The 12639-nt window shown below is 37.6% G+C and overlaps 1 long non-coding RNA gene across 1 annotated transcript in view; it reads right to left on the bottom strand.

Moving 5' to 3' along the window:
- LINC01908 (long intergenic non-protein coding RNA 1908) overlaps window positions 1-12639 on the bottom strand; it is a 50682-nt gene that overhangs the window by 19096 nt on the left and 18947 nt on the right. The window contains exons 5-6 of the long non-coding RNA XR_002958212.2: window positions 11980-12033; window positions 8459-8605 (exon numbers count right to left, since the gene is read on the bottom strand). This is a non-coding gene — a long non-coding RNA (long intergenic non-protein coding RNA 1908). The remainder of the gene's footprint in view (window positions 1-8458; window positions 8606-11979; window positions 12034-12639) is intronic.

Below are 12639 nucleotides of genomic sequence, written 5' to 3'. Positions count from 1 at the left end.
TCGTGATCTCCCTGCCTCTGCCTCCCAAAGTGCTGGGATTACAGGCGTGAGCCACTGCGCCTGGCTCTAAGTTATATCTTAATAAACTGTTGAAAAAACGAACAAACAAAAAACCAACCAGCTCCTGAAATGCTACTAGGCTATGATAGAAACAGAGCTTTGGCCCATCGGACAGCAGGTTACCATGTGGTCAGAAGTCACTCTGATGGCCATCAAGTAATAAGGTCAAATGTGCTCAGCAGCAATCCATAGCACCAAATATGGGCTCTACAGTAAGTCCTAACTCTCACTCAGGCTAATCTAGCTACTGTCACAGCTGAATGTCTGCCCTGCCAGCAACAGAGACCAAGGTTGAGCCTCCAAACCATCCCGTCCCTCAAGGATACCACTTGGCCTCTTGGTGGCAGGTTGAGGATCTGTTTTGCACTCAAGTGATCAACTGGAATAGCTCCTGGTACTCCCACATCCAGTTTTAACTAAGTGGGTATGCACAGAAACCATAAGCTGATAAATCATGCTAAACTGGGCTTATGTTCCTCAGAGATGATGATATGAGTCAACCCACCAGACAATCCACCTAAACCAGCAAATGTGCTCACTGAGGGGAGGAGAATCTAGAATTGGTGAAGAAGCAGTGAAATGATGCATATCAGTTACTGCAGGGTTTCCCAATTTCAGCAATATTGACCTTTACACTGAATAATTATTGCTGTGGGGGCTGTTCTGTGCATTGCAGGACATAATGCCCATAGCAACCTCCAGATATGGCACACAAAAATTTCTCCAGACGTTGCCAAATATCCTTTGGGGGACAAAATCTTCCCTGATTGAAAACTACTGAGTTACAACCTCAGGAACAATGCATCAGCAAGGGTTTCAGTTTGTCTGAGTAACCCTCTTCTCTTTTAAGTTTTCCCAAAATGTGTGACCAATCAAAATACTGGAGAAGCTGCACCTGGGCGGATGAACTTGGAGTGAGAAGCAAATGGATCTGAATAATGCCAAGGATAGACTCTAGTGGGCACTGTTGGTGTCAAATCAAGACCAGCTTACTAACAGGTGCACATCCCCTCTCCCCACCCAATGCCCACCCACTCCCATGTTACTAGTTTTGTATGATAGCAACTCAAAGCTGCAACCTTCTCTTGAGAATTGACCTCTGCCAAAAATGAGACCTCCCATGCTGGAGAGGACACTCCTGCACACTCCTGCCTCCCTTTAAATGGGACTGATGCTAATGCAATTTGAGCTGCAGAGCTTCCCCAGGAAATCAAACTGAAGCTAGTTTCCAGGCAAAACTCTATGAGCTTATTTCCTCTGCCCACGCTCCTACATCCCTCTCTCCTCCTAAAAGTACTTAACCATGAACCTCTTGACCAAGAGTCTTCATCTTAGGCTCTGCTTCCCAGGACAAAAACAAGCACTTATTTAATGCCTATTATACTCAAGCATTTAACTAAGATTTTTTCTTACTTGATCTCATTTAATCCTCTGGGTAAGAGGTGGATGTTATTAATCCAGATTTATCCTGTTTTACAAATGAGGAAAGAGCCTCTAAGAAGTGAGAGGTGTCTAAGGTTTCACCCAAAAATTGCAGAGCCACCACTGGAATCCAGTCTGTGGTACTGGATACACTAGCATCTCTTTTCAGTTGAAAGATACTAAAGATAATATTTATAGTCCTTCTCTTAGAGGGACTGCTCCTGTTCTTGCCAGAGGATCTCCACAGTGTGTAAAAGACTGTTGCTTTCCATTTTATGACTCAGTTCACACAAGTTTAGTGTTGGAGACATTCATTAAATTTTGAGAGCTCCATTTCTTAGTATCAAATGATATGTCCTCAGGCAAGAGAGTATTTCTCAATTCCTGTAAGAGCTCATATGCTCTCTGGTTCTCAAGTGAGGAAAGGGAGTATGACATTCAGTATTAGCTTCTATTTTGAGGAATAGGGGGAGGATAATATGTGAAATTGCTCTCAAATGACTCTTATCATGGAAAATAAAAATAAATAAATGATCGTAAATTGTGTCAACATCTGATATTACAATCTCTTTTACTTAATTATGTAAATAAGAACTTGAAAACAATACGCATTGTGCATAAATCCTCTGGCAATTGAATGAGAGTCAAGTGAATTGTAAACTTGAAAACATAAGTTCTATGAGATTATCTCTAGGCTATTTAGGTGTTTTGATGTTGATGAATATAGTTATTTTAGCTAAAGAGTATTGTAACACACTTTTGCTTTAGTGAGAATGTGTGTCTTATTGTACATTTAAAGCAAAGACAGGCTAGTAAATATTATCATACTACTTTGGGGGTAGCTTTGCATTTTGATTGAAAAGCCACCAAGAGATATAATTTCTTCAAGTAGAAGGATATTTTGTTATTGGTGGCAGTGTTTTGGATCTTTTTAACTAATTTATGATGTGGTAACTATTTTTAGCATTAGATGAAATATAATTGGTGAGGTATTATAGAGCAGAAAATCCAGGTCAGTACAGGTTTTCCCCAATTCTAAGACCAATTTGTTTTGAGTAAGGTGTTTTTTTTTTTTTTGGAGTAGCAATTTTCCAGATTTTTCCATATTTTCTTGCTAGATAACAGGTACTTTTTCCATGGGCCACTGTACAGGCCTATGAGACCAAACACTAATGTAATATATATAATATGGTTTGGCTGTGTCTCCACCCAAACCTCATCTTTAATTGTAGCTCCCACAATTCCCATAGGTCATGGGAGGGACCCAGTGGGAGATAATTGAATCATGGGGTTGGGTCTTTCCCATGCTGTTCTTGTGAGAGTGAATAAGTCTCACAAGATCTGGTTTTATAAGGGGGAGTTTCCCTGAACAAATTCTCTCTCTTGCCTGCCACCAATGTAAGACATGCCTTTCACCTTTCACCACAATTGTGAGGTCTCCCCAGCCATGTGGAACTGTGAGTCCATTAAACCTCTTTTGCTGTATAAATTACCCAGTCTTGGGTACATCTTTATCAGCAGTGTGAAAACAGACAAATACAATATATAATCACAATAGTGGAGGGAAAGGCTTAATTTCAGGTAAAAAATAATTTTTAAACAGCCAATTTCTACTTGGCTGGAGGTTTCTCAATGTCCTTCCTCCTCCTCTTTCCCCCCTCCTCCCAGTTTACCACGCACACCTCAGAGTTACTGCTATCAGACATCACAATGTTCAGTTAGTGTCTTCCTATCCCTGCTGGCTACAAGAATTTCCAAACCCTCATCCATGAAAAATAAAAACCCCATCAACAGCCAACAAGACTTGAAAATATGAAAGGGTGACCCATACTCCTTCCAGAATTCCTGATAATTTGAATGAAAAAGCAAATAAATAAGTTAGATCTGTAAACAATTTGAAACTTTTAGATTAATGCATTATAAGGTATGGTTGTACGTAGAAAATGGAGGATGATAGAGTGGGAAAGAAAATACACAAAACTAGTTTAACTTGAGGAAGTTGGTCTAGGAGACTAGATACCTCGTCAAAACCACCTATTTTAACTTATTTCTCCTCATAATGTGTGACATTTTTACCAGCACCTCCCTTTTCCCAATGGCTGAACCTGAAACTGCATTAGTTAATTGGCACCAAGAGTACCTCAAAAAAATTTTGAGAATATTTTTGATATCTTAAATCATGGCTCTGTAATTTACTAACTATATTCTTAGAGCAAAGTCTTTAAAGAATTTGAGCTCCGATGTTCTCCATAAAACAGTTTTTTGTAGAGATGTGAGATAATAGAACTAGTAAGCCTAACACAGTTCCAGACAAATTGTAGTTTCAATGAGTTTTGTCTGTCTGAAGTGCGTGTTTGCTTTAAATCATTCATACCTTATTGTGAATTAATTTAATCAGAATGCTTTCTTCTCTAATGTGTACCTTTATTGAATAAATAAGAGTTTTGAGTGCATGAGGGGGAAGCTTAATGTGCCCAGAACAGCAGGGTATCAGTATCAGTATTTATGCCTGAAGGGTAGAGGAGAGTTGCCCACAGAAACAGGGAGGTAGGCAGAATGGAGTTACAGGGCAGCTATGGGAAATTACACTATTTTTGACTTTTGAGACTAGAAAGGGAGAGCAAATACATTCCTTCTATTCTCTCCCCACTTAAAATCCTCCTGCAACCAGAATCTAATATTTGGACATCTCATTGGTATCATTCTTCAGATACATTATACAACTTTTTCTGAGCAATTTGGTAATGACTTACCATCTGAAATGTTCTTTTGATAGAAAACAAAAGCATTCTTTCTTACAAATATTTGTTTCCCTAATGAAGTTTCGATGCACAACCTGTTTGTAATTGGAGACCGCAATTAAAATAGCACCTGATTAATATCTGTAATCTCCAATGCTGATCCCATTCAGTGATACTCTCTGCCTTGCACATTAATAGATTAGTTCTACTTTGAAAGAGTGCAGGCCTTCCATTGATCACTTTTGAGATTAGTTTTGACTTAGATTTTCTAGAACTCATTTCTAAACCATGAAGATATTTGGTTACACTCAATGGCTTCCATCTGTTTTTAAAATTATTGACTCTGCCTTCAGAATCTGAGTGCTAGAAAAAGTGGTCCAAATCTGACCACCAACATGGCTTCAGGAATATTCGAGAAAATTAAAACAAATAAAGTCACCACTCCTCATTTTTTCTAAGGCCAAAACTAAAGAAAAAGGAGTAAGCAGATTCCATGTCTTTATAACTGCTTTATTTCTGGGGAGAATCTTTACTCCTTACGTCATCCACCAACACGTTGAGAATAAGAGTTCAATATTTCAGGCTCACTGTCCATCCTCTCCATCACAGATTATCGTATGATAGGGTGTTATATGAAATCATCAGTATCTGACAACTCATTTCAATTTAGAGATGTTGTCTTTGAAATTCCTCCCTGTGTAAGGTTTTCCTCTTTGCTCCTTCTGTGTTTCTGTCAAGAATCCATTTATATGAAGAATATTTGACAGTGTTCATGTAATGTTGCAAATTCATTTGTTAATGGCACAACTTTAATGGAGAAACTACCAGAAAAACAAGCAAAGTGCAATCATTTAGTGTAATTGCAGTGATAAGATCCATGGAGTGTAAAAAGGAAAAATAATCATTGCACCAAGCCCATCAGAACACTGAGTGAGACTCCTTGAGACTCTGCAGAGCAAGAGTACAATAATGGGTCACAGTCATGGTCAATGGAAACATTCTCTTCCCCTGGGGGTGACTGAACATCACATAAATTTGGACATGCTATTTTTTCAAATATAAAATAAACTTGAAGAAACTTTGATATTTTCTTTGTTTCCTTAAGCACTAAAAACTATGCAAAATAGGAATATCAGAGATTAGTATAGCAATTCTGATTTTTGAAAGGATTTTTAAAAGGATAGCCCATGGAATATACTAAATAGAAAATGATAATGATGATATGAATTTATTTTTATTTTCCACAAGAAAATATTTTAAACAGGATGCCTAGTAGCTTGGCATGCTGCCAATATTTGACAAAGTGACAAACCAAATGGCACTAATAGGTAGAAATTTCAGAATCTTATACTAGAGGAAAATAGCTCTGAAAAAATAAGGCCCTGTAAGTGAAAACGGGGAACATGAGCAAAAAATAAAAGAGCCCTTAGAAAAACAAGTACTGGAAAATATAGGTATAAATCTTGCCTAAGCCCAAAGCAAACAGCCTCAATCTGAAAAAAAATCAGTTCCATACTTTAGAGCAGCATCAGAAGGAAAAAGTCTGATGTGGAGCACATTATTAGCACTCAGATCCTGCTCTGTTGCCTCTTAGTTCTGCTTTGGTCCTAAACAAAACAACTCTATTTGTTCATTCGTCCATTTATTCAGTTGCCATCTGTTTATCTATCAGGCATTGTATTAGACACCAAGAATGCTGTTGTAAGTAAGAAAAAATACAACAGTGAAAGAAACAAATAGGGAGATGCAAGACTGGTCGCTCATGCTACACTGGGAATAAATATATGATGCTATGGTAGATCATAGAAGGAGTACAAACCCTAGGCTTGGGCTGTCAGAACTTTTTTTAAAGAAAAATCAGAAAGAATAGTCCAAGCGTATAAAAACACATGTGTAAAGGTCCAAGGATGGAGACGGAGGTAGAGATAGAGATAGAGGTAGAAAGAGCTGGAGAGATAGGCAGAGAGATGAAAGAAGTGTATAATGGCCAGAGTTTTGCATTTCATAATAGAGAGTCGCAGAAAAGGCAATAGAAACAAGCCGTGACAGGATAGTTTGGAATACTTTAATTGTAAATCTCAGAAACCAATTTCAAACCAACTTAAGCAAGAAAGGAAAAAGAGGAATTATTGGAAGTATGTCGGTATATCTCATGCATAAATTGTACAAGCATACTATGGGAAGAGAAGGAATATACCTGGGTCTCAAACAACTAAAAGGAGAATTAAATATCATCAAAACTATCTTTTGCTCTCAGCTCTGCTTTTAAGGTCTGCTGGCTTCATTATTCTCATGGCTTTGGCCCAGTCACAGAAAACAGGCACCAATAGCTCTTGAGTTTTATATCTAGGATTCAACCTCTAGAGAATGAAATAGATTATCTTTCTTAGTTTCAGCTTCAGAAATTTGAGGAAAGGGCCGGGCGTGGTGGCTCACACCTGTAATCCCAGCACCTTGGGAGGCTGAGATGGGCAGATCACGAGGTCAGCAGATTGAGACCAGCCTGGCCAACATGGTGAAACCCTGTCCCTACTAAAATACAAAAATTATCTGGGTGTGGTGGTGCATGCCTGTAATCCCAGCTCCTTGGGAGGCTGAGGCAGGAGAATCGCTTGAACCGGGAAGTGGAGGTTGCAGTGAGCCAAGATCCTGCCACTGCATTCCAGCCTGGGTGACAGAACAAGACTCTGTCTCAAAAAAAAAAAAAAAAAAAAAAAAAACAAATTAATAAATAAATTTGAGGAAAGTATGCTAATACAATTATTGTTTCTCTTCTTTAGTTCAACTCTTCTATGTGCCAGGCATTATTTGATGTGCTGGGTACATGTGATGAACAAGACAGGTAAACCTATGCTCTCATGGAGTCCACATACTAGTAGGATAAAAGAGGCAGTAAACAAGCAAACAAATTAACGCATGAGCAACACAATTGTACGTAGTGCTAAGTGTCAATAAAGAAATAAAACAGAAAGCTGATAAAATGATTGTGTGAATAAGAGAGGGGAAAATTGATGGGTATCACCAAGGAGGTGATATTTGAAACGAGCTCCAGTCAGCTTGAGATAATTTCAAGGAGCAGAGAGTTTAGGGAAAGGAAGCAGCAAATGTTAAACTCTGATAGAGAAAACAGATTTCACATGTTCAAGAAACAAAAAGGTCAGTAAAGTCCAGTGAATGAAGAGAATGGTGGTCGGAAATTGGGCTGAGACAAAATCAGGAACCAGAAGATGTACAATCTATGAGCCTTGTAAAATCAATTTTATTCTAAGTGAAGAAAGTCAAAACAGGGATACCAGTTATAAAGCTCCGGCAGTGATTTCGGCAAAAGACACGGGTGACTTGGACTATAACAGCAGTGGAAGTGGGGAGAAGTGGGATGGATCTGGAAAATATTTTGGGGATAAGACCGAAAGAGCTTGGTGATGGATTGGATATAAGAAAGTAAAGAAGAGAGAAAATTCCTAGGTTTGGAGCTTAAGTAAGCAACTGGATGGTTAATGAGACCATTTACTAAGATGGAAAACTCCAGAAGAACAAGGTAATGTTTAGAGAGTGGGCTGCATGAGCCGGCGTGAAGAGGCAGGAATTATTTTTGGCTATGTTAGGTTAGGTTGTAATACCCATTACACATTCAAGACAGTTATTAAAAATTCAGATAGATACACCCCTGGGAGATAACACTTGTAAGCATTCACATTTTCCTACTCTTCTTATGTCTCAATGGATAGTAACTATATCAGTTGGGGTAAAGCGGGGCAACAATTTTCAGAAGGATAGGAAGATGGCAGATACACATGCCAAGTACAAATGTATACATACACACAAACACACACACATGCACATGCGCATATATTGTGGCTATATAGCTATCTGTATCTATGTATATGTATATAAATTCAGTTTGGGCAGGAAAATAGCTCATGGTGGAAGCAAAAGGAGAGGCTGCACACAATAGAGTAAGGGAAGTGTGTGACTGGGTTGCGCTACATGCCCCTTCTAACAGCATTGGAGTCAACAATTCATCCTTAACTCAGAAGCTATCAGCAGTAATGGGGGGAAGGATTAGATGAAATAAATATGTATTGAACACATACTATGAGCTCAACTGGATGCACACCCTTATCCACGCAACTATAGGTAACTGAGTTTAAAAGTTCAGTCTCTACTGAACTTTTAAAATATCTCCTCTCATCCAAAAAAAACACAAAAAACAACTTGCCGAAAAAGATGGTTACCATTTCAAATCCTGAGGACTTGTCAGGAATGTCCTACACAGTCAACTCTTTCTGCCTCATCCACCAAGGACATTCATAATTCCGACAAGATGTCTCTGTCTTTCAGAACATCCCTGCAGGAGGTTGTCAACTTTTAAAAATGGTGCCCTAAATAGAAGGCGGGAGAGTAGTTAATGTGCTTGTTTTCATGGATTAAAGTTCATGGAAAAACTCTGGACTCCTCCCCAAACATTACTGAGAACTGGTGTGACATGCAATTCATCCTGGCTCCTGTTATTTTCAAAAACATTGCTCTTCCTTAGAAATCTCTTTAATGAATGCTTGCTCCTGGGCTGATTATCCTCTCCCTTGGCAATCCTTTTTGCATTTGTGTAATTTAGTTAATGGACATATGTTAACTATCTACATTTGTGCTTAATACGTAATAGATGTTCAGTTGACAGAAGCAAATTGGGAAACTTGTGTAGTTAGTGTCATTTTCTTAGATTTTAAAATGTGAGTTTTATAAAAGCTGATTCCCTAATTACATATCGTATGCTCTATGCTATGTCATAAATGTTGGCAATTTATCCTTTCTGCCTATTTTGTTAATCACTTTTTCCAAAGCTTTCCTGAAACAGCCCATGGTGGTAAGCCACATACATCTATTTTGCAGACAGTAATCCCCACTACCTCGTTCAATACCGTACCAAAGATGGTGCTGAAGTTATCTTTTTACCTGAAAGGAGCCAGGAAAAAATTAGTTATTTCCTTTAAAAATTTTGTAAGAAGTGGCCGGGCATGGTGGCTCATGCCTGTAATCCCAGCACTTTGGGAGGCCGAGGCAGGCGGATTGTGAGGTCAGGAGTTCAGGACCAGGCTGACCAACATGGTGAAACCCCGTCTCTACTAAAAATACAAAAATTAGCCAGGCATGGTGTCACATGCCTGTAATCCCAGCTACTCTGGAGGCTAAGGCAGGAGAATTGTTTGAACCTGGGAGGCAGAGGTTGCAGTGAGCTGAGATCATGCATCTGCACTCCATCCTGGGTGACAGAATGAGACTCTGTCTCAAAATAAAATAAAATAAAATAAAATTGTAAGAAGTATTTTTTTCTTATAGTAAAAATATGATTTCTAGTCATATTTTAGAATAGAATTCTATCATTTCCATTTACAGGAGCTTTTATCAGTATAAGAATAATAGATTACCACCATAAGAAACATGGAAAACATAAAGCAATAAAACCTGGAGTCAACTGTATATCAGCCCTCTTCTTTTTGAGGCATGGAGCCCAGTTCTCCTGGCCCCTACCCTTAAGAGTGAGCAAACTCATCAAAGCACCTCAGGACATAGCATAGCCTGTCTTTTGACAGATGGGTGCCTGAGAAACTTGTACTTTTAAAGCTGTATTTACATTACAAAGCCATAACTTGTTTTTGACAGCCAGGTTTTGTAGCAGTTCACTTTAGTTGTCACATTAGGAGTTCATTTTTGACCCGACAGTCTGTGCCAATATTTGCTTTTGTCAAATTTGACTTGTCAAAGTGGAAACTATATCAAAACTCCATAACACAAGTGACAGTAATTAAACCAACTAAAAAAATAATTTCAACTTGTAATGCATTTTGCTCATATAAATGTGTATAAATAAAATATCCTTTGAAAAAATAGTCAGATAATAATGAATAAAGTGGGATTTAGCAAGATTCAGGCATAGAAAGGATCAACCAGGTATATTATATACGTATTTCCAAAATAACAATTCCTTGAATACATTAAATGGCCAGCTGATTGAAAGATATTTTAAAGAATTTTGCTACTTGGATTTGTGCATATTTATAATAATAAACACATTTAATTTGTGTGAATTCCATGCATCTAGACTTATGGCAAATCTACATCAAGAGTTTGCACTCCACCACAAAAAACAAACAACTGAGAAATCTATAGCCATAGTTGTAGACATGTTTTAAGGAAGCAGTAATAATATATTTAACTTTTCACTTTAATACACAAGTTACTATTTAGTGACCCATCTATAAATTTGTCAGTGATATGGTTTGGTTTTGTGTCCCCACCCAAATCTCACCTTGAATTGTAGTAATCCCCACATGTCAAGGGCAGGACAAGGTGCAGGTAATTGAATCATGGGGGTGGTTTCCCCCATGCTGTTCCCATAACAGTGAGTGAGTTATCACAAGATCTGATGCTTTTATAAGGGGCTTCACCCTTCACTCAGCACTCATTCTCTCTCCTGCCACCCTGTGAAGAGATGCCTTCCACCATGATTGTAAGTTTCCTAAGGCCTCCCCAGCCATTCAGAACTGTGAGTCAATTAGAGCTCTTTTCTATACAAATTACCCAGTCTCAGGTATTTATTCATAGCAGTGTGAGAACAGACTAATATAATCAGCCTATAAACTCCAGGAAAAATTTCATTCTGCAGCATTTGAATTAGGTGCTTCTGCTGATAAGTGGCTTCTCTTACAGGGAATGAAAATGGAATGAGCTCTGGAATCATAACCATGATTCATAACCATGATTTGCTCACAGATAAGCAAAAACAACCAAGTTGCTTTTATAATTAGGCCACTAGGTAAGACAGTATTTGAGGATTAAGACTGAAAGCTCATAGAAGACAGGAGCCAGGTCTCCTTCCTTTATAGAATGAATTTGAATGAGTAGTTAACAAATACGTAAATGCTATGTAGATATGCTGTTTTTCTTGCTTTTGTTTTCTCTAGATAGCTTTCATTCTTAGATGAGCATGGGTAACAATAACTTCCTAAATTTTCTTTGACCAACCATTACTGGTCTTCACCAAGGACACAAAGAGGGAAATTAACTCAAAGAATGTTAATTAAATTTGGTCATTCCGAATTTATGCATCAAAAACAGACAATCGATATGCCAAAAACAGGAATGGAATCACAAATTATAGGCGTGCAGCAATTGAGAATTGACATAACCCTGAGAAAGGCTAATTATCAGCAAAAGCAGCTAATTCAAATACTGCAGAATGACACTTTTCCTATAGTTTATAGACTGGCACATTTATGTTATGAGTCACCAAAAAATAACGTGTTTATTAAAGTAAAAAGTTAAATATATTATTACAGAGTCCTTAAGACAATGATTTGGTAACTATGACTTACATATTTATATAGCTTGGATATAATGAAAAAAGAGAATGCATTTCATATATTTATGTAGGAAAAACTGTTAAAACAATTAGAATTAAGTGTAAAAAAGAAAGGAACAGTCTAAGAGAAAAATGGCCATTGTAGAAGTCTATTCAATTACATAGAATTTTATTCTATTTTATGATACATATGTATTCTATTACAATCTCATTTTATATAAGTGGGTTTCAAAACATGCCATAAGTTTTTCTCTTATGTCATAGAATGAATATACTCCAATGTGAGATACATACTATCCCAACACACAATCTCTAGGCCCTGGGTCATACTGCGTTGCATCTGAGTGTGCTTTGAAATTACACAGTTTGGGTCCAAATCCTGATTCTGCTACTTACCTTGTACAACTTTGGACAATGTCCTTAAAACTCTCTGTACTTGATTTCTTTTATCTGTAAAAGGGGAATAATAATATTACATACCTCACAGCATTGTTGGGGAGGTTAAATCATTGAGAACAGACATTAAGTGCTCAATGATTGCCATTGTGTTACAGAAATGATTGGGTGTTATTTTCATAGAATAAAGGAATGGCTAAAAATTTTAATGTACATGTATGTAATGCCTGGAAACACAGCTTATGTCACAATCCTTTTGGTAATATTTGGTCAGTTTTTTTATGATAGCTTCACACTATAACTCTTTAATTAGACACTGTGGAAAGCAATATATGACTGGTTATTTCTGCCTATGTTTTTTAGAGTCCTAAGCATAAAAGCGCCCTGCAGAAATTCCTCCTTTGTTTAGTAGAGGTATCAGTAGAAAGGAAAAAGTCCCTGTGTTAAAACACAATTAATAATCCTTTAAGAGATACATGGGTCATACTAGTCACAAAATAATTCTAAAGTGTCAGGTTCAGAAATCAGATGGAACCCCTTAATTTTATAAACGAGGAAAAAGAATCAGAGAGATTAAATAGCTTGCCCAGAGTTACTCAGCTGGTTAGTTGGAGGCAGTGTGTCACAGTTTATTAGGAACATTTTATCACTAACCGGGTG

The sequence above is a fragment of the Homo sapiens genome, chromosome 18 (assembly GCF_000001405.40).
Source record: "Homo sapiens chromosome 18, GRCh38.p14 Primary Assembly".
NCBI lineage: Eukaryota > Metazoa > Chordata > Mammalia > Primates > Hominidae > Homo > Homo sapiens.
Note: the sequence above shows the minus strand (reverse complement) of the source record. Positions and strands in the feature narration are given on the sequence as shown.